We start from the raw sequence: 22,085 nt of genomic DNA, 5'->3' as shown, positions 1-22,085 counted from the left end.
GCAATGACTAAATATTCAACAGGAAGAGATGTATCCTTCGATTCTAGGAAGGACTCATGCAAGTATATTTCTAACAACTGAGAGCCTCATAACTGCTATTGCTTTAACACCCCCATTTTTGAGTAATTCAAAGACCTTCACAATTCTTGGTTTGTTATAAAAAACTTTTGGGAGGGAATTTTCCATCAAAATGACTTATGGATATAAGGTGGTCAAATCTATGGTAATGTGAATAATGCTATATACAAATTTGATAGTTATATATTTGTTTCTAAACGTGAAATTATAGAAATCATACTGCTTTAACCACAGTTCCCTTTATTTAGAAATGGATGAGACTAGCTAACACTGTATGCTTACCATGTGCCAGATGCTGTTCAAAATGCTTTATATTATTTCATGATATCAATAGTTAGATATAATTAATATCCCATTTTACAGATAAGAATATCGAGGCAGAGAGAGGTCACATAGTGAGCAAATAAATAGAAGAGGCAAGTTCCAATCCTGTCATTGCGTTTCCAAAGCCCACACTCAACCTCTGTGCTCCACTGAGATTCAGGGAATAAGGGGGCACAGAAAAATACCTAGATGGAAAACAGTCATGATATGCGCAGAAGAAAGATACAAAACATCAATTCAAATGTCCACATTTCCATTCATGCAATACCTTTTCACCTGAATATATGAAAGAGTGCAGTGAATCAAAGAAAGTAGGTTCCAGAAATAAAGCTTTACTAATCGGATATTTAACTGGGACAAATGAATTTAACCTAAAACATAAGAAAATCTTCATTGTTTAAGCAAATACACTAGGAAACCGATTACAATAAAAATAATTTATTGCAGATAGTTTGTATTACTGTTTGCTCACAGTTTCTTTTAATAAAGTATTTTTCAGGAAGGATGGGAGTTGATGCTCCATATTCCTGAGTAGGGAAACGCTCAGAGATCCTGGCAGCTCTTACCTTCCAGGGCCAACATCTTTTGCCCTCTCCTGAGTTACCAGCAGGTGTTCTGAACAGCACTTTTTGCTATTCCTACCACTCACTAGAGGAGTATGAATGCCTATGCATCTGCCTGGTTCAAATTCCGGCTCTGCACATGAGCCAGGTGACCTTAGGCAGGTATTGAACCTCTGTCCCAGTGTGAGAATAGCAGTAGCTCCTCCTTCATGGAGTGGCAAAGAACTGAATGAATTAAGACATGGTAGCATTTACAGCAGTTCTTGGCATACAGCAAATGCTCTAAAAATGTTATTCTTTTTCTTCTTTTTTTTTTTTTTTTTGTTGTTGTTGTTGTTGAGACGGAGTCTCGCTCTGTCACCCAGGCTGGAGTGCAGTGGCACGATCTCGGCTCACTGCAAGCTCCACCTCCTGGGTTCACACCATTCTCCTGCCTCAGCCTCCTGAATAGCTGGGACTACAGGTGCCCGCTACCATACCCAGCTAATTTTTTGTATTTTCAGTAGAGACTGGGTTTCACCGTGTTAGCCAAGATGGTCTTGATCTCCTGACCTTGTGATCCACCCACCTCGGCCTCCCAAAGTGCTGGGATTACAGGTGTGAGCCACCGCGCCTGGCCAATGTTAGAGTTATTCTTAAAACAAAATACAAAGAGTCGTCACAGGTATCGTCGGACACTAGAACACTATGCAACAAGGAACAGTTAATACTTCTGTAATGAAAGGAGAAGATGGAAGGATGGAAGGGCATTGCACATATAATTATCAGTAAAATATGTCCTATTTGAGGAAAATGGAAGTGCACTTTGGGTTGTGTGTTTGAACATAAGTGAGAGTACATTAGATTCATCTATCAAGACATTCTAGAACTGAGAGGTACACTGAATGTACATTCAGGCTAAATGCCAGAAGCCAGAGTGCAAAATCAACATTCAAACAGGGCTGACACCAGAGAGCATCGCTATCACTCAATGTATTTCTCGGATACCAGCCCAACTTTTAGAGTATCAAAAAATTATAATTGTATTATTAGAAATTTTAGTAATAATGTTAAAATTTGACAAGGCAGTGCAGAAAAAAGAATCTCTCGGCACGGTCACTCAATACCTGCATTGCACTTGCAATTCCAAATAGATGCTCACTTTCCCCCCAGGTCAGCAGAAAAGAGAGAGAAAGATTTTCCAGCTAGCTCTCCTGGGATACTGCAGACAGACAGTCAACAAGCTTTATTTTCTTTCACAGTGACTAAATATTTTTGTCTAATATTATGAATACTAGAGTATCTCAATCAATTCTATAGATTAGAACAATACTATAATTTACTCTCTATTATTCTGCCTTATATTACCTGAATTTGTATAAATGTTTATTGGCTCAAAAAGGATATAATGTTCTCCTGAAGGTATCCAGTTAACTTTCTCAACATTCATATAAACTGTTAATCTAGTTCCTTAGTTAGCTCACTGTCTAAATATTCATATTAACTGTTACTCCTATTTATTTAATGAAACACATTTCTTGTTTTGAATAATACATTGCAATTGTTTTGAATACAGCTTTCACAATCATCAATCACTGTGGCCTTTCACTCTTGAAGTAAGTAACAATAATAAGAGCAGATACTGATAAAGCACTAGCTACATGCCAGGCACCACTCTAGGACACAGATATAAACGCACGCACACACACAAAATCTTTACAAGAACCCTATAATGTAGGTACGTTATTATTCCCATTTTACAGATGAAGAAAACTGAGCCACTGAAAAAGAAATTAAATAACTTGCCCAACTAGTAAGTGGCAGAGCTGGGATTTCAACTCATCACACTGGTTCAATGTCTGTGCTCTTAACCACTAGACACCCTGCCTTTTGGCAGCTGAAGGATGAGTAAGAGACAGATAGGCGAAGAGTAAAGGGGGTTTGGGAAAACAAAGAAACAACACTTGTGAAAGCTGTATGGCAAGTGTGAGGGCAGGGGTGGGATAAAAGTACATTTGAGAACATGAAATAAAGGCCTCATGGTGAACCCAGAGAAGGCACAGGAATGTCTGAACTTGAGGGTTTTGCAGGGGCCAGACCACACAGGACTCTGCAGGTCAGAACAGGGGACAGAAAAAGGACAGGAAGACATTGGAGGGTCTTAAGCAAGGGGTGGGGGCATGACAATCAGAATGCGGTGTGAACACCACCTTGGCGTAGGTGAGGATGCAGGGAGCCCTGTGAGGGGCTCCAGTGGTGGTCCAGATAACAATGGCTTAGACGACGCTGGTGAGTGGTGATGCTCGGTATTTAGGGGTACAATCACCAGAGCAGAGGGAAGGACTGGGTTTTGGAAAGAGGAGGGTCAAGAAGACAGAAGTTCCAAGGATGACTCGTAGGTTTCTGGTTTGTACAGTTGGATGGAAACACTGAGTGAGGACCAGAGGTGTGGGGAGGAGTCAGCTCAGTCTCGGTCAGGCTGGGCACAGGAGCATCTGGGATGTCCCAGGGAAAGTGTCCAGTAGGCAGATGGAGCCACAGGCCTGGAGCCCACATTGAAGTTAAGAGCCAGAGATACATATTCCAGAGTTAGTGTGTAAACGACAATTTAAGTCACAGAAGTGCATAAGATCCTATAAAGAAACTCTACAGAAAGAGAAGGCCTAAGGCAGGGCCCTGAAGAACTTAACATTTTAAAAGACCCGAAAGACAAGGATGAGCCTGCAAAGGAGATGCTGAGAGGCAGAAGGAAAAGAAGAGCAGAGTGATCACAGAAACCAACAGGAGAGCACGTTTACGAAGAAATCAATAAAGTCAAATGCTTCTGAGAGGTCAAGAAAGACGCAGACTGCAGCATCCATTAGATCTGGAGACATGGTGACTGTTTCAGAAGGACAGTGAGGACAGAAGCCAGGCCTGGACTAAAGGGAGGAATAAGTGGAGGGGAGGAAGTGAAGAAGGCCACATGCAACTCTGAAAGAGGCAGCTGACGGAGAATGTGGGGTCCAGAGGACACTTACGCAGGAGAGACTGAGCATGTTTAAATGCTGACTGGAAGACTAGGGTTGGGAGGAAGGAGATGAATATACCAAAAAAGGAAGGAGCTAACTAACAGTATGAAGTTTTCATGAAGTCAGTAGGAAAGATCTGAAGCGTGAAGAGGTCGGGGGGGATGGCAGCCCGATGGTTAGCACGAGGGAAGGAGCCCAGGAGGCGTGCAGGTGTAGCAGTCTTGTATCTTTGGCAGTGGGAGGATGATGAAGTTGCCACCTAATGGATCATAATTACTCTGTGATATAGAAGGAAATGTTGCATCCAGAAAATGAAAGAGGACGATGGCGGAAGGGTACAGTGGGAGGCAGTGTCAGGGTTTTGAGGAGAAATTAAAACAGTCATTAGAGAAGGTGAGAGAAAGAGTGAACCCAAGAACCGGGGATCGCCAAGGCCTGGTTTCAGAATATCAGTGACCGGGAATTTACTGGGGTTCCAACCAGGCCCACGATGTGACTTGTAGTGCTCAGCTTGTGGGAACAGGCAGAGAGAAGGCAGATAGTGGAGTCACCCAGGAGGGGTTTTGCTAGCAAGTTACAGCAGCAGGTCCAAAGGGCCAGAGAGTTGAAGGCGCATGGGTATTTAAGAACTTGGAGGCCAGGCACAGTGGCTCATGCCTGTAATCCCAGCACTTTGGGAGGCTGAGATGGGCGGATCACCTGAGGTTGGGAGTTCAAGACCAGCCTGATCAACATGGAGAAACCCCGTCTCTACTAAAAATACAAAATTAGCCGGGCATGGTAGCACATGCCTGTAATCCCAGCTACTCAGGAGGCTGAGGAGGAGAATTGCTTGAATCTGGGAGGTGGAGGTTGCAGTGAGCCAAGATCGCGCCATTGCACTCCAGCCTGGGCAATAAGAGTGAAACTCTGTCTCAAAAAAAACCCCAGAAAAACAGAACTTGGAAGGGTGCTGGAGACGGAGCCGGTATCTAAGCTACATAATGAAAAGAGAGGGAGGGAGGACTGGGAGAGCACAGAGGGGACAAGACACTAGAGGTCCATACAAGAGTCAGGCTACTCCAAGTCAAGGAATTTAACAAGCTGCTGGAAAAGAGCTTGTGAGCAGAGGACAGAATGCCCAACTTTCACCCATTAATTATCATTGATATTCATTAGGTTGTCTGAACTAATTATTAATTAGTTTGATCACCAGTCATTCATACATTAAGGTCAGCCCTCTGTGATAGGATAAGGGGTTGAGATTCCCAGTCTGTGAAGAGCTCTTAGAAATCATCAAGAAAGGCCAGGTGCGGTGGCTCACCTGTAATCCCAGCACTTTGGGAGGCTGAAGCGGATGGATCACTTGAGGTCAGGAGTTCGAGACCAGCCTGGCCGACATGGTGAAATGCCATCTCTACTAAAAATGCAAAAATTAGCTGGGCGTGGTGGCGCACGCCTATTGTCCCAACTACTCAGGAGACTGAGACAGGAGAATCGCTTGAACCCAGGAAGTGGAGGTTGCAGTGAGCCAAGATTGTGCCATTGCACTCCAGCCTGGGTGACAAAGCAAGTTCCATCTCAAAAAAAAAAAAGAAATCATTAAGAAGAGAACCAACACCACAATGGGGAATGAACAAAATGCCCTACTTGGCTGGAGACTCCTCTTCCGGGGTGCCCTGGGACTCCTCCACCACTGTGGGTTCCTCCATCGGTGCAGTTGGCTCCACATCACTGAAAAACAGCAAGACCCTCTCTAGTCACACAAATACATTCATACCAATGCCTTTGTATGTTTAAGAAGGAGAAAACATTGTTTTTTTGGTTTTTTGGGTTTTTTTTTTTTTTTTGAGACTGAGTCTCACTCTGTCGCCCAGGCTGGAGTGCAGTGGTGCAATCTCGGATCAGTGCAACCTCCCTCCCAGGTTTAAGTGATTCTCCTCCCTCAGCCTCCTGAGTAACTGGGATTACAGGCGTCCACCACCACGCCCAGCTAATTTTTTTTGTATTTTTGGTAGAGACAGGGTTTCACCATGTTGGTCAGGCTGGTTTCGAACTCCTGACCTCCCACCTCGACTTCCCAAAGTGCTGGGGTTACAGTTACGAGCTGCTGTGCCTGGCCTATTGAGGGCTTTAAAGTAAGTTTTTTTTTAAAAGTAACCACAAATTGAACTACAATAACAGAAAAGACTTTTTCAATTTAAATAAGTATTAAATTCTCAACTCCAACCTACTGAAATCAATTCTTTAAAAACTCACTCTTTTTAAAACAAAACTTGAATAATTAACTTTTGTTTTTTAAAATGAAGGTTCCAGGCCGGCAGGGTGGCTCACGCCTGTGATCCTAGCATTTTGGGAGGCCAAGGAGGGTGGATCACTTGAGGCCAGGAGTTTGAGACCAGCCTGGCCAACATGGTGAAACCCTGTCTCTACTAAAAATACAAAAATTAGCTGGGCATGGTGGTTGGAGTGCGGTGGCGCCATCACAGCTCACTGTAGTCTCGACCTCCCGGGCTCAAGAGAACTTCCCACCTCAGCCTCTGGAGTAGCTGGGACTACAGGCGCACACCACCATGCCCGGCTAATATTTTGTATTTTTTGTAGAGATGGGATTTCACTTTGTTCCTCAGGCTGGTCTTGAACTCCTGGGCTCAAATAATCCATCTGCCTCAGCCTTCCTAAGTGCTAGGATTATAGGCATGAACCACAAAAAACTGAGTATTTCTTAAACTTCAGCAATTAGCTGATTTTACAGAAAAGAAAAATCATAGATGTCCTCCTATGTTGACCTATTTTATAAATGAATATAAAATATTGTGCCTACAGCTATCATAGAACTGTATGATCAAAACTGAAAGACAATTAAGTTTCAAAATTAGCAGCAATTAATTTGGCAGGTTCTGCTATTTTGTTGAAAGTAAATCATCCGGGCGCGGTGGCTCACACCTGTAATCTCAGCACTTTGGGAGGCCGAGGCAGAAGGATCACGAGGTCAGGAGATTGAGACCACCCTGGCCAACATGGTGAAACACCGTCTCTACCAAAAATACAAAAATTAGGTGGGCGTGGTGGCGGGTGCCTGTAGTCCCAGCTACTTGGGAGGCTGAGGCAGGAGAATCACTTGAACCCGGGAGGCGGAGGTTGCAGTGAGCCGAGATCATGCCACTGCACTCCAGCCTGGAGACTCTGTCTCAAAAAAAAAGAAAAAAAGGTAAATCACCAATGTTGGATTTATCAGAAGAAAGATATAACCCCAGGGCCCATGTCTATATTTTGACTTCATTTGTACTAGTGCAGAAAATGCCTATTTGTGCACATATGTTCCATAAAATGATGTTACACACTTCAAGGCTTTGTTACCTAGTTCAAATTTAATCAGACCTCAAACTTAATCAAATCTCTGACAACAACAGATTTTCATCAAATTTTGCTTTGAGAACAAATAAAACTGTCTTGCTCTTCACAATAAAAGTTGAAAGGCAGCATTATTGAAAACTGCGTTCATGGGTGTCTACTCCAATTTTAACAAGAAAATAATATCTGATACACTTTTTAAATTATTGCAGATGGAAAAATTCTATTTCAGCACAGATAAATAGAAAAAATTCTATTTTACCGCTGTCAAACTGTTGAAGAAAAGCAGTATTACTGAAATGGCTCAGTCATACCAGTTTGAAGGCACTTTGTCCTTAAATCCAGTTATTGCTGTCAGCGTCTTCAAATAGGAATACTCGACTACAGCAAAGCCCTTACACCTTTAATACACTGGGAAGCACTTGGGCTTTGCCAGCCACAAACACATTACTTACTGTGTTAGGCTCACCTCCACTTTCTTCTCACTAATCAAAAGTAGCACATAACTCCTTCGCATACATCATTTTCATGACCTCAAGCCGATTTACTAAGAAATAAATTTCTTACTCACTTTATAAAGAAATGTATGAAGTATATGTATACATACATAAAATTTATCTCTATTTATTAATTAAGAAATTAGTCTTATTCTAAGAAAAGCTTTCCATTACAAATTATAACCACCTAAGAGCTTTGACTAGCTGAGTGTGGTGGCTCACGCCTGCAGTCTTAGCTCTTTGGGAGCCAAGGCAGGTGAATTGCTTGAGCCCAGAAGTTTGACACCAGCCTGGGAAACATGGCAGACCTGCATCTCTACTAAAAATACAAAAAAGGCCGGGCACGGTGGCTCACGTCTATAATCCCAGCACTTTGGGAGGCTGAGGTGAGCGGATCATGAGGTCAGGAGATTGAGACCATCCTGGCTAACAGGGTGAAAACCCATCTCTACTAAATATACAAAAAACATTAGCTGGGCGTGGTTGCATGCGCCTGTAGTCCCAGCTGCGGGGGAAGCTGAGGCAGGAGAATCGCTTGAACCTGGGAGGGAGAGGTTGCAGTGAGCAGAGATCATGCCACTGCACTCCAGCCTGGGCAACAGAGTGAGACTCTGTCTCAGAAAAAAAAAAAAAAAAATGCTGGGTGTAGTGGGTGTGGTGGCATGCGCCTGTAGTCCTAGCTGCTCGGGAAGCTGAGGTGGAAGGATCAACTGAGCCCGGGGTTTCAAGGTTATGGTAAGCCAAGATTGAGCCACCATACTCCAGCATGGGCAACAGAGTCAGACCCTGTCTTAGAGACAGAGAGAGGAAAAAAAAAAGAGCTTTGACTTTATAACTCACAAACCAATCCAAAATGAGTGCCATGGGGCACACGTCATTTTAACACTGAGACATGCCAGCCTGCCAGGGCCACAAGTGGTCACCTCTTAACATTACAAGGCCAAGGCTGGCCCTCTAGGATAAGTAACCACTTAGAGCCAAAATGATTTTAAGTTCAAAGGCAAACTGAAATGAAGTGGTAGTATTAGATAAGGTGGTAAATCAGATGATGAAGAAAGAAGGTGCCCAAGCTGGGCACGGTAGCTCACGCCTGTAATCCCAGCGCTTTGGGAGGCCAAGGCAGGTGGATCACCTGAGGTCAGGAGTTCGAGACCAGCCTGGCCAACATGGTGAAACACCATCTCTACTAAAAACACAAAAATTAACCAGGCGTGGTGGCGGGCACCTGTAATCCCAGCTATTCGGAAAGCTAAGGCAAGAGAATTGCTTGAACCTGGGAGGTGGAAGTTGCAGTGAGCTGAGATCGCACCACTGCACTCCAGCCTGGGTGACAGAGTGAGACTCCGTCTCAAAAAAAAAAAAAAAAGGAAAAAAAGAAAGAAAGAAAAAGAAAAAGAGAAAGAGAAAGAAAGAAAGAAGGAAAGAAAGTGCCTATATTACTTTTTAAAATATATTATCAAAGTAAAATAAAACAAAATTAAAAGATCTGTCATCAAGATCCTATGGAACCCCAGATAGAGAAACATTCAACAAGTTTCTCTTCTTTTCAAGGAGAACACAAATGAGCAATGGTAGTAAATCTAACGCTGTTACATTTGATATTAGTTTGTACATTTGTCTTTAAGGACAACAATTTAAGAAAAATAAGTTCATGTAAAAAGCTTATATTCTGGCCAGGCACAGTGGCTCATGCCTGTAATCCCAGCACTTTGGGAGGCCAAGGCAGGTGGATTACCTGAGGTCAGGAGTTCGAGACCAGCCTGACCAATGTGGTGAAACCCCGTCTTTACTAAAAATACAAAAATTAGCCAGGCATGGTGGCGTGCACCTGTAGTCCCACCTACCTGGGAGGCTGAGGCAGGAGAATCACTTGAACCTGGGCAGCGGAGGTTGCAGTGAGCCGAGATCGCGCCATTGCACTCCAGCCTGGGTGACAGAGCAAGACTCCGTCTCAAAAAAAAAAAAAAAAAAGCTTATATTCTTCAAAAGAAGAAAAGTGGAAGCCTGGATCCCCTCAAGCCTCTGCACTAGCGGGAAGCCTGCCCTGTAGCACTGCTCACACTGCACTGCCTGCAGCATGCCCTACCTCTTCTTCTGCAGACACCAGGAAGGCATCATCCCTCCAGCTGTGAAATAAAACAGAGCAGAACCATGTATCCACTCTAACTAGCAGAAGAATTGGCACAGATCTAAGGCACCATGAAGCCTCAGAGAAATGTCCAACTTGAGCCTCAGGTGAAACCTGTCACTAAGCTTCAATCTACAAATGATTTTATGAAATGAAGATGTGTCAAGGATCCACATGAACTTTGAAAGGTAAAAACATATAGAATATCCAGGAATTTAAAAAGCATTTTAGGCCAGATGTGGTAGCTCATGCCTGTAATCCTAGCACTTTGGGAGGCTGAGGCAAGAGGACTGCCTGAGCCCAGGAGTTCAAGACCAGTGTGGGCAACATAGTGAGATCTTGTCACCATTTTAAAAAATAATGAACAAAACAAAAAGCTTTTTTTTGTTTTTTTGAGATGCTGTGTCTCGCTCTGTCACTCGGGCTGGAGAGCAGTGGTGCCATCTCGGCTCACTGCAACCTCTGCCTCCCAGGTTCAAGCAATTCTTCTGCCTCAGCCTCCTGGGTAGCTGGGACTACAGGTGCCTGCCACCATGCTCTGCTAGGTTTTGTATTTTTAGTAGAAACGGGGTTTCACCATGTTGGACAGGCTGGTCTCAAACTCCCGACCTCAAGTGATCCGTCCACCTTGGCTTCCAAAGTACTGGGATTACAGGCGTGAGTCACCGTGTGCAGCCAACAAAAAGCATTTTGAGGCATGTGCAAATGTACAGTGCCATATGTTTGAGGCATCAGCAAATACATGGTCATCTGTCACAAATTTGTTTGGCTAAAGTAATAGAATTTTAAAAGCAGTTTAAATCTAACTGCAACATAGCAAACCTGTTTTAAAAACTTATCTCACGAAACAAAAGCCTAAAATCAATCTCTACTTAGGGGCACACAAGTATAAAGCACAATACAGAAGACATCATTTTCAAGAAAAGCAAAGATCCAGAGATTTCCACTTAATTGCAGGTTCTCAGAGGGCACACACTTACACCGTACCTGGTATCTTTACCCGATCCCCAGGTTCGAACTCCACATCCACCCATGTTGTCTTCAGTTCTGACTGCTCTACGGAAAGAAAGAATAGTCCCTTAAACCAGAAGCTAGTCTCCAGTCAATCTCCAAATCAGAAAGAGTGGTTCATAAAAGTCCCAGGATCAGCTTCTCACAAGAATAACAGCACAGTACTATAAAGTTAACTAAATATTAACACATAATAGATTCATACCACGTGCTGACACCATCTTAAAGTGAAAATAGCATTTACAAAGAAACTTACATTTTGTCATTCCCACCATATCTTTCAAATTCTCGCTTTCCTCTCTGGTCAAAAGCGTCAAAAACTCTGTTCCCAGGGCCACCTCTGCCTCTGCCGCGCATACCCCCTCTCGGGCCTCCACGTCCTCTCAACGGTCTGTCTCGATCAAACCTATCACCTGGTCTAGGAAGGAGTGGATATAATAAAAACTGGTAAATTAAAGGTCTAAGGTCTCTCCAGAAAAAAATTCTAAAAGAAAATCATGGTTATAGTATACTGGAAAGAATGGTGGCTTGAATCACAAATTAATAGTTAACCTTTAGTGAGCGCATACTATAGACTATATACCTGGCATTGTTCTGAGCACTTTACATATAGTAACTGGATTCTCACAAACAAATCTTTAATATACAATTATTGCCTATAGATGAGGAAACGGAAGCAGAGAGTAGGCTAAGTGGTGGGGCCAGTCCAGGAGAAGCAGGTGCTAGACAGGCATAGTACTAATCTGAATGGGGCATTCCTTTCTCTCTCTGGATCTAGTTTCCTTACTCAAAAAATGAGAATGTTGATAAATAAATTCTAACGTTCATTCCTGTTCTAATACCAAATCTTTAAGTTAAATTTGGAATGTTTTGTGTAAGAAAAATGGTTAAACTTCAAATTATGCCCCTTTCCAAATCTCCCTCCTAAACACACAACCAGCCGGTAACATTTGGAACTGTGAAAACCTTAACCTGCCTTCCACCTCATTACTCCACATAAACGGCCAAGGGCAGCTGAAGACCTCTTTAAGCCCAATAGCAACTTTTGTCTTCATGTCATTTGACCCCAGTGTCATATGACACTCCTGGCCACCAATCTTCCTGACTTTCTGGCTTCTCTTTTTCTGCCTGCCCTTAGAAAATTATTTTTGGAATAGATAATACCCAAACATGGTACAAAACTCACATTGTTCCTCAGCCACGCAATTCCACTTCTCAGAGGCAGCCAATTCAAGATTCACAGAAGGGAAAAGTTCTCCGTCTGCCTCTCGTGCCTAACCACTTGTCTTGGTGCTCTATACGGATACCCATCTGTCCTTATCCTTGTGGGCACTCTCACTTTTCTTTTATTAGAACCTTACTTTAGATTTCTTTTTTTGAGGCAGAGCCTTGCTCTGTTGCCCAGGCTGGAGTGCAGTGGCAGGATCTCGGCTCATGCCACATCCGCCTGGCCCCCCATGCTAATGCTAACTGGCCCTGTGTCTCTCATCTGATTGCAGGACATGAAGCCAGTTACTTCCTAGACATCTCCACCCGGACATCCCCAAGTCAGGCACACACATGCCCAACGCGGAGCCCTTATTCCTCCTGTGATTCCCAACTCACAATACGAGCGAGAGCCCAAGCCACTCCTCCCTCTTCTTCCTCTGCCACATCAGAGCCTGGACCCAGGACCTGATTGCCCACCCACTCCTCCCTGCACCGTCGCTGGGCACCAGCACTCTTTCTGAGGACTTGTCTCTCCTTCACTAAGCTCTAAGCTCTTTTTCACCATTGTAACAATAGTTTAATAAATGTTTTCTAATTTGGAAAGGCTTTTAAAAACATTTAAAATCACAAGAAATTACTTATTTAATGGAGGTCCTGGCATCAAGAAACCTAGTGGCATTAGTAGCTCAAACACCAGCAGTAGAGGTATGTTACAATCTACTTTTATGGCTAAAAGTGTTACATTAAGAAACCGCTATACAATAGTGGGTAAAAGTATACAAAACTCGCAATCTTCCTTACTCAAAAAATAAAGAAATACAGAAGTACTGATCATTAACGTCATGCCAGTCTCTTATAAGAAACACAACTTAAATAAATTCTCCAAGTTGGCTTTTCTGTCTCCCACCTCCTGTAACCAAAACCTGATTCTAAACTATAGCAAATATCTAAAGCAAAACCTGATCCTAAACTATAGCAAATATCTAAAGCAGGCTGGGCTCGGTGGCTCACGCCTGTAATCCCAGCACTTTGGGAAGCCGAGACGGGCAGATCACTTGAGGTGAGGAGTTTGAGACCAGCCTGGCCAATATGGTGAGACCCCATCTCTACTAAAAATACAAAAATTAGCCGGCCGTTGTGGCGGACGCCTGTAATCTCAGCTACTTGGGGGACTGCAGCAGGAGAATCGCTTGAACCCAGGAGGCAGAGGTTGCAGTGAGCCGAGATGGCACCACTGCACTCCAGCCCGGGCAACAAAGCGAGACCTTGTCTTAAAAATAAAAATAAAAAAACTAAAGCAGGCTAGGAGTGGTGGCTCACTCCTGCAATCCCAGAACTTTGGGAGGCCAACGCAGTTGGATCGCTTGGGCCCAGGAGTTCGAGACTAGCTTGGGCAACATGGCAAAACCCCATCTCTACTAAAAAATATAAAAATTAGCCAGGCATAGTGGTGCATGCCTGGTAATCTCAGCTACTCAGGAGGCTGAAGTGGGAGGATTACTTGAGCCCAGGAGTGCAGTGAGCCGAGATCCTGCCACTGCACTCCAGCCTGGGAAACAGAGCAAAAAAAGAAATCTAAAGTACAGTTCTAAAACAAAAGAAAAGTAACAGTAATTTTTTTTTTCAGACAGTATCTCACTCTGTTGCCCAAGCTGGAGTGCAATGGCCCAATCACTGCTCACTGCAGCCTTGATCTCCCAGGCTCAAACAATCTTCCCATGTCAGTCCCCCAAGCAGCTGAGACTACAGGCATGTGCCACCACACTCGGCTAACTACCCTTTGTAGAGATGCGGGTTTCACCATGTCGCCCAGGTTGGTCTCAAATTACTGGGCTCAAGAGATCCGCCTACCTAGGCCTCCCAAAGTGCTAGGACTACGGGTATAAGCCACTGTGCCCAGCCAACAGTAAACTCTCTCTCTTTTTTTTTTTTTTGAGACAGAGTCTCGTTCTGTCTCCCAGGCTGGAGTGAAGTGGTGCAATCTCAGCTCACTGCAGCCTCTGACTCCCAGATCAAGTGATTCTCATGCCTCAGCCTCCTCAGTGGTTGAGATCACAGCTGTGCACCACCACGCCTGGCAATTTTTTTTTTTTTTAGAGACAGAGTCTCATCTGTCACACAGGCTGGAGTGACGTGGCACAATCTTGGCTCACTGCAACCTCCACTTCCCAGGTTCAAGCGATTATCCTGCCTCAGCCTCCAGACTAGCTGGGATCACAGGCGTGTGCCACCACATCCGGCTAATTTTGTATTTTTAGTAGAGATGTGGTTTCACCACGTTGGCCAGGCTGGAATCGAATTCCTGAGCTCAGGTGATCTGCCTGCCTCTGCCTCCCAAAGTGTTGGGATTTCAGGTGAGAGCCACTGTGCCCAACCTACAAATTCTTTTTTTTTTTTTTTGAGACAGAATCTCACTATGTCACACAGGATAGATTGCAGTGGCATGATCTCGGCTCACTGCAACCTCTTCCTCCTGGGTTCAAGCGATTCTCCTGCCTCAGCCTCCCGAGTAGCTGGGATTACAGGCGCACCCCACTAATTTTTGAATTTTTAATAAGGCGGGGATTCACTATGTTGGCCAGGCTGGTCTTGAACTCCTGACCTCAGGTGATCTGCCTGCCTCAGCCTCCCCAAAGTGCTGGGATTACAGGCATGAGCCACTGTGCCGCCAAGAGCATTTCTTATAGCACTTTCCCCAAGCTTGAATATGATAAAATTTGATCTTTGCTCATCTGATAGTGAAAAAGGGTGTCACCTTGAGTTTCTTTAATACCTATACATGTTTATTGGACAGAATTATAGAATCTTTATAATCTCGAAAGATTATCTAAATTCAGCCCTCTCCATTTTTCAATGAGAAAACAGACCCAGAGTTTCAGCAATGTGTGTAGTAGTCTTGTCACAGCCAGCTGCCATGGATTTCTATTCTACCCAGGCAGAGAACGTGTTTTCCCACGGAAGCAATGTCATAAACGGCGCTGGGATTAACGGGCATGTCTCCGCCCCCGAGATCTGCTATATCATGTGGTGCACATATTCTGGGAGTAAACTACTGTTTTTAATGCAGTAGGAATTTTTCCTTAGGCTCCAAATAAACTTAACTGAACTCTTAGAACAGACTATTAGGAGATTAGTCTGCCTCTGTCTAGATGAATTTTGGCTCTTCCTTTCTGTAGTTTACTGGTCATTTAAAATCAATTCCTGTTCTGAAAAAAAAAATCCCTCAGATGTTTACCCTCCCCCCATTATTAACAAGCTTTAAGCAAATTGTGGTAAAATATACATACCATAACATTTACCATTTTAATCATTTTTCAGTGTTCAGTTCTGTGGCATTAAGTACATTCACACTGTTGTGCAACTATCATCACCATTCTTCTCCAGAACTTTTTATGTTTTCAAACTGAAACTTGGTATCCACACTGAACTCCTCATTCATACTTTCATGGGCTTCAGGCTTCCCACTTGTGAAACAGGCATCATGTCTACTTGCTAGGACTGTTGTAAGACAGTGAATCACAAGTCTATAAAGCAGGATGCTTGGCTCAAATGTTATTTTCCTTCCTTTTGCTTGTGAGTTTGTCACAAATAAAACTTTATATGTTTTATTTATTAAGAGTGTTTTTATTATTAGTTAAGAGTATTATTTATTGAGGGTATTTTTTAAGAAACTAAGAAAATGTTTTCTGATATCAAGATTCAGATTTCCCTGAAAGTGAAAATCCCCTACATATCTGTACTGCGATGCGCTGAGAACACATTACTTCTGTGGCATTCCTGCCAAAAGTGCGTAACCTCATTCCACGAGGAAACATCAGAAAAACTCAAAATCTGGGACATGTTATAAAATAACTGGCTCATACTCTACAACATGTCAAATTCATAAGGACAAAGGAAGGCTAAGGAGCTGTTCCTAATTAAAGATGACTAAATACAATGCATTTGCCTGGAGTGGATCCTGAAGCAGAAATGTTTTCTCTTTTGTGAAAAGACATCACTGGGACAATTGGTGAAATCTGAGTAAAGTCTGTAGACTCCGTAATTTAGAGAATTAGGTAACAGTATTGTATTCATTTTAATGACTTTGAAAATTGTATCATGTTTTTAGGAAATGCATTTAAAGTATTTAGGAGTAAGGGGACATTCCTACACCTTATTCTCAAATAACAAAGAAAGGCTGTGTGGTGTGGTGGGGGATGAATGATAAAGCAAATGTGGTAAACAGTTAGTATGTGGGGGGTCTCGAAGGGCAGATGGAAATTCTTCGTATAATTCTTAAAACTTTTCTGTAATTCTGACCTTATTTAAATTAAAAAACCCCTCCATAATTCCATATCCCACCTTACTCTTCCATATATGTATTATTTCACTTAATAGCTATTTTTTCATGTCACATATAAAGATCTATTTTATCCTTTTTAAAGACTACACAGTCTTGCTACTAAAAAAGGGGGGAAACATGGGTTTGTGCAAGTGAACTATAATTTCCTCATTTCCACAGAATCCCTAAAGTGAGGGGAAAATAAATACCCAAATGCTTCCAAAAATAAGCAGCTCTGCTACAAGAAGCTTTGCAGAAACAAGGAGACTGTGCTTACTACACAGCAGATTTGAAGTAATCACCAAAAAAGGTGCAAAATTAAGGCTTTCTGTAAGTTTCTCCCTCCAACATGGTTGCAGATAGACTATCTCAATGTCTTGAATGTGTAACTTCCAGGTGAACAGTTCTGCATGAGTCATCACCTGCTCAGCCCACCCAGGCTAAGTTACTCTCTGCTGGACTTTTGTTTTGTTTTGTTTTTAATAGGCTCTATAGTATAGTTTTACAAAGCCACATTTTTTGGTTAAAACTTGTAGCCAGAATCCTAAATGGAATGGAATTAGCAGTCAAGAAGCAGAAAGAGTTTGGAAAAATGGCTCCCTTGACATATAACTGTTCACTATTCTAGTCTTCCTTAGCTTGTTTAACTTTATTTTCCTTGAAATGTGATTCACTACTTGTTTCTGTTTAACATAAACAGGTTTAATGATTAAACAAAGACTTTAAGCAGCAAGTGCCAAACATAAGACACAACCCCTCCCCGTGTTGAGGTGGAGTGCGGTGGCCACCATGCTGCCACATCACTAAGCAGCGACGCAACACTCCACCAGCCCACGACTTCTGTCCATGTTAGAGTACTTCGGAGAGCAGCCATGCCCTCCAGAAATTGGTATTACACATCATAACAGACTCTTCTTCAAATTTCATCATGGCAGCCTACTGACCTGACCGTGGAGCTAGGAATTTATTTCAATCCATTGAGCAGTCTAAATTGGTAATGTGAAATCAAAAACCATAATTATATCCCTAGTCCAAAATTATATCTCTAATCTAGAACTTCAAAAGAAAACCAGTTCAACACACTCCTGTGTAATTTCTTTTTAAGAGTGCTCTTCAGTTACCAACAAGCAATTCATTTTTAATTGTACAATCATTTCCTGAACCAAGACGTAAAGGCATCTATGAGGAAAAAGGAAGATCCTTCCCATCATCTAAGGTAACATGAATTGCACATAAATTAGTAAAACATTCCTAGGACTGGTACCACAAAAAGCAGTAGCCAGTAGAAAGTTGTATTTTCTGGGCCGGGCATGGTGGCTCACTCCTGTAATCCCAGCACTTTTGGCAGGCCAAGGCAGGTGGATCACCTGAGGTTGGGAGTTCAAGACTAGCCTGACCAACATGGAGAAACCCCGTCTCTACTAAAAATACAAAATTAGCCGGGCGTGGTGGCACATGCCTGTAATCCCAGCTACTTGGGAGGCTGAGGCAGGAGAATTGCTTGAACCCGGGAGCGGAGGTTGCAGTGAGCCGAGATCGCACCATTGCACTCCAGCCTGGGCGACAAGAGCGAAACTGTCTCAAAAAAAAAAAAAAAAGAAAGAAAGAAAAGAAAAAGAAAGTAGCATTTTCTCAAAACCTTTCTGGTTCCCCACCCGCCCTGCTGAGGACTGCAGCACATACTTTTCATCTGGAAACTTCTCAGCTGTGAAGTCTGCCTGCCTCTCTGTCTCATAGGGTCGGTATTCCCTGTAGGATCTCCGCTCAGCTCTTTCGAGCATCCCCTCCGGCCCACGGCTGTCATTCCATCCTTGCTGCTCCCCTCTTCTAGGAGTCCGCTTCTGGCCTACCAACAGAAAATCAAAGCAGAGAGCTGGAACACAACATCTGCAACAGCACACTATTAAACTTTACAGGTACTTGTAAATTTCATTTTTCTAGAAATCAACGTCATAGGAGAATTCAGGAAGTTTAGAAAACTTCAAAGAAAAAAGTTGCTGATACTACAACTGCCCACAGTCTACTTTTTAATAGGATGTTACTATTAAATCATGCTTTCCCTATATCCTAGAAAGTATATGACCAACTAAGCTCACCTATAATTACAGGCATCTCCCAATAACTGTGACAGCCATGGGTACATTTTACTAAATAAGCTACAGTTCACAAAAGCAGTCTTACAAAAACACAGTGTGTAAGCCGTACCTAGAAAATGAAAGAATACCCTATATTTCAGACTGTACTTTTAGAATCCCAACTGCACATTACATAGCAACTATGGCTTATCACTGGCTACTAAGGTTTTTGTTTTTATTTTGTATTTTTTTAATTTATTTACTTAATTACTTATTTTGAGACAGAGTCTTGCTCTGTCACCCAGCCCGAAGTGCAGTGCACTGTTTAATCTTGGCTCACTGCAATCTCCGCCTCCCAGGCTCAAGCAATTCTCATGCCTCAGCCTCCCAAGATGCTGGAATTACAGGCATGTGCCACCATGCCCAGCTAATTTTTGTATTTTTAATAGAGACAGGGTTTCACCATGTTGGCCAGGCTGGTCTCGAACTCCCAGCTTCAAGCAATTCACCCACCTCACCCTCCTGAAGCACTGGGATTACAGGCATGAGCCTCAGCGCCTGGCCAAGGTTTTTGTTTTTAAAGTTTGTAGTGCTTATATTTTTACTTTGAAAACAGATTTTCCTGCTATTCTATGAGATATATAGACTTGCAGTTATAACTTCCTGAATATGAACCAAACACTGCTATTTGGCAACTTGCCCAAGAGTCAGCCAGTACTTGAGGGCATCTCTTTTTGTCCACTCAGTCCAGCACTTGGACACTGTGCTGGGACCACAGACTCTGGTTTTGTTCTTGTGTTTTTTTTTTGAGACTGAGTTTCACTCTTGTTGCCCAGGCTGGAGTGCAATGGCCCGATCTCGGCTCACTGCAACCTCCGCCTCCCGGGTAGAGATTAGCTGGGATCACAGGCCTGCGCCACCACGCCTGGCTAATGTTGTATTTTCAGTAGAGACGACGTTTCTCTAACCTGGTCAGGCTGGTCTCCTCAGCCTCCCAAAGTGCCAGGATTACAGGCGTGAGCCACCGTGCCCGGCCGAGACTCTGGTCTTTTCCTCTGTCCTGTCACCTTGCTTTACTCCCCTTTAGTTTTAATGCTTTAAACATCTTAAGCAAAGTCTATGTTTGAAGCCATCTAATACTTGGTAAATACATTGTGGAGAACTTTGTCACATCTTTAATCTTCAAAAAAAGTCTATCTTTTTTTATATACATTTAAAAGATCTCCTCTCACTATGTGCAATATTTACTATAGTGGCTTCAATTTTTCTTGGTACAAATTACTCTCCACATTAGTTGTATAGCTATGACATTTATTCAAGTTAATGGATATATATATATATATATATATATATATATATATATATATATTTTTTTTTTTTTTTTTTTTTTGAGATGGAGTCTTGCTCTGTTGCCCAGGCTGGAGTACAGCGGCGCCATCTCGGCTCACTGCAAGCACCGCCTCCCGGGTTCACGCCATTCTCCTGCCTCAGCCTCCCCAGTAGCTGGGACTATAGGCGCCCGCCACCACGCCCAGCTAATTTTTTGTATTTTTAGTAGAGACGGGGTTTCACCGTGTTACCCAGGATGGTCTCAATCTCCTGACCTCGTGATCTGCTCACCTCGGCCTCCCAAAGTGCTGGGATTACAGGCGTGAGCCACTGCCCTTGGCCACAGTTATATTTTTTAACTATTAGACTTCCCTCCCACTTAGATACACATAAGACCTTAAGGAATATATGTAGATACACACTTTTCTATTTTCCCATTTAATATTTTCTACCAAAACTTTATCATCTGGGTACAGGTAAATCTTAACCGGTCTCATTTTAAAGCAAAAATGATGTTTATGACATCACTAACATAAAATTATATAATTTATTCCTTGTTAAAGTATTTTTTTCAAGTGTGAAAGCTGCACAACAGATCTAAATTCAACCTACTATAATTTTAATTTCCCATAACCTAGAAATATTTAAATTCAATTCATATCCTGTAGTGAGGTCATAATCTGAGGCTTGTGATATGTTTAGGATATGGGAAAGATGTTATCATAAGTGGAGCATAATGTTTCATTTATTTATTTATTTATTTTTTGAGACAGAGTCTCGCTCTGTCACCCAGGCTGGAGTACAATGGTGTGATCTTGGCTCACTGCAACCTCCGCCTCCCAGGTTAAAGCATTTCTCCTGCCTCGGCCTTCCAAGTAGCTGGGATTACAGACATGTGCCACCATACCGGGCTAAGTTTTGTATTTTTAGTAGAGATGGGGTTTCACCATGTTGGCCAGGCTGGTCTCGAACTCCTGACCTCAAGTGATCCACCGGTCTCGGCCTCCCAAAATGCTGGGATTACAGGCATGAGCCACTACACCTGCCTTTTTTTTTAGACCAAGTCTCACTCTATCACCCAGGCTGGACTGCCATGGCACCATCTCGGCTCACTGCTACCTCCAACTCCCTGGTTCAAGTGATTCTACTGCCTCGGCCTCCTGAGTAGCTGGGATTACAGGTGCCTGCCACCACACCCAGGTCATTTTTTTGTAGTTTTAATAGAGATGGGGGTTCACCATGTTGGCCAGGCTGGTCTCGAACTCCAGACCTCAGGTGATCCACCCGCCTCAGCCTCCCAAAGTAGTGGGATTACAGGTGTGAGTCACTGTGCCTGGCCACTTTTTTTTTTTTTTTTTTTTTTGAGACAGTCTCACTCCGTCACCCAGACTGCCAGGCTGGAGTGCAGTGGCACAATCTCAGCTCACTGCAACCTCTGTTACCCAGGTTCAAGCAATTCTCAAGTCTCAGCCTCCCAGGTAGCTGGGATTACAGGCCTGTGCCACCACGCTCAGGTAATTTTCTGTATTTTTACTACAGACAGGGTTTCACCATGTTGGCCAGGCTGGTCTTGAACTCCTGACCTCAGGTGACCCACCTGCCTCGACCTGCCAAAGTGCTGGGATTACACACATAAGCCACTGCACCCAGCAGAGTATTATGCTTTGATTGCAGACATATCAAGATAATGACACTTTTCTTTTTTTTCGACAGGGTCTCTGTCACCCAGGCTGGACTGCAGTGGTGTGATCATAGTTTACTGCAGCCTTGACTTCTGGGGCTCAACTGATCCTCCCACCTCAGCCTCTCAAATAGCCAGGACTACAGGCTGCACCATCACACCCAGCTAATTAAAAAAAAAATTTTTTTTTGTAGAGACAGGTCTCATTTTGTTGCCCAGGCTGGTCTTGAACCCCAGAGCTCGAGTGATCCTCCCGCCTAGCCTCCCAGTGCTGGGATCACAGGCGTGAGCCACCACGCAGCCCCCACTGTGACTGACACTTGTGCCCGGTTGCCTAGGAGTGTGCAACATCAGATCTGGGGGCACGTGCTTTATTAAGAGTTCAGAACTGGGGCCAGGCGCGGTGGCTCATGCCTGTAATCCCAGCACTTTGGGAGTCCAAGGCGGGCAGATCACAAGATCAGGAGATTGAGACCATCCTGGCTGACGCGGTGAACCCTGTCTCTACTAAAAATACAAAAAATTAGCCAGGCGTGGTGGCGGGCG

At 43.4% G+C, this 22,085-nt stretch overlaps 1 protein-coding gene across 5 annotated transcripts in view; it reads right to left on the bottom strand.

Moving 5' to 3' along the window:
* The window catches only part of HABP4 (hyaluronan binding protein 4), a 41,235-nt gene that overhangs the window by 14,658 nt on the left and 4,492 nt on the right, over positions 1-22,085 (bottom strand). For all 5 annotated transcript variants that reach the window (XM_047423008.1, XM_047423007.1, NM_014282.4 and 2 more), the window contains exons 2-5: positions 18,138-18,300; positions 11,181-11,342; positions 10,901-10,969; positions 5,585-5,668 (exon numbers count right to left, since the gene is read on the bottom strand). In XM_047423008.1, the coding sequence (XP_047278964.1) occupies positions 5,585-5,668; positions 10,901-10,969; positions 11,181-11,342; positions 18,138-18,235 (413 nt within the window). In that variant the 5' untranslated portion in view covers positions 18,236-18,300. The remainder of the gene's footprint in view (positions 1-5,584; positions 5,669-10,900; positions 10,970-11,180; positions 11,343-18,137; positions 18,301-22,085) is intronic.

Source organism: Homo sapiens, chromosome 9 (genome assembly GCF_000001405.40).
Source record: "Homo sapiens chromosome 9, GRCh38.p14 Primary Assembly".
In the NCBI taxonomy this organism is placed as follows: Eukaryota; Metazoa; Chordata; class Mammalia; order Primates; family Hominidae; genus Homo; species Homo sapiens.
Note: the sequence above shows the minus strand (reverse complement) of the source record. Positions and strands in the feature narration are given on the sequence as shown.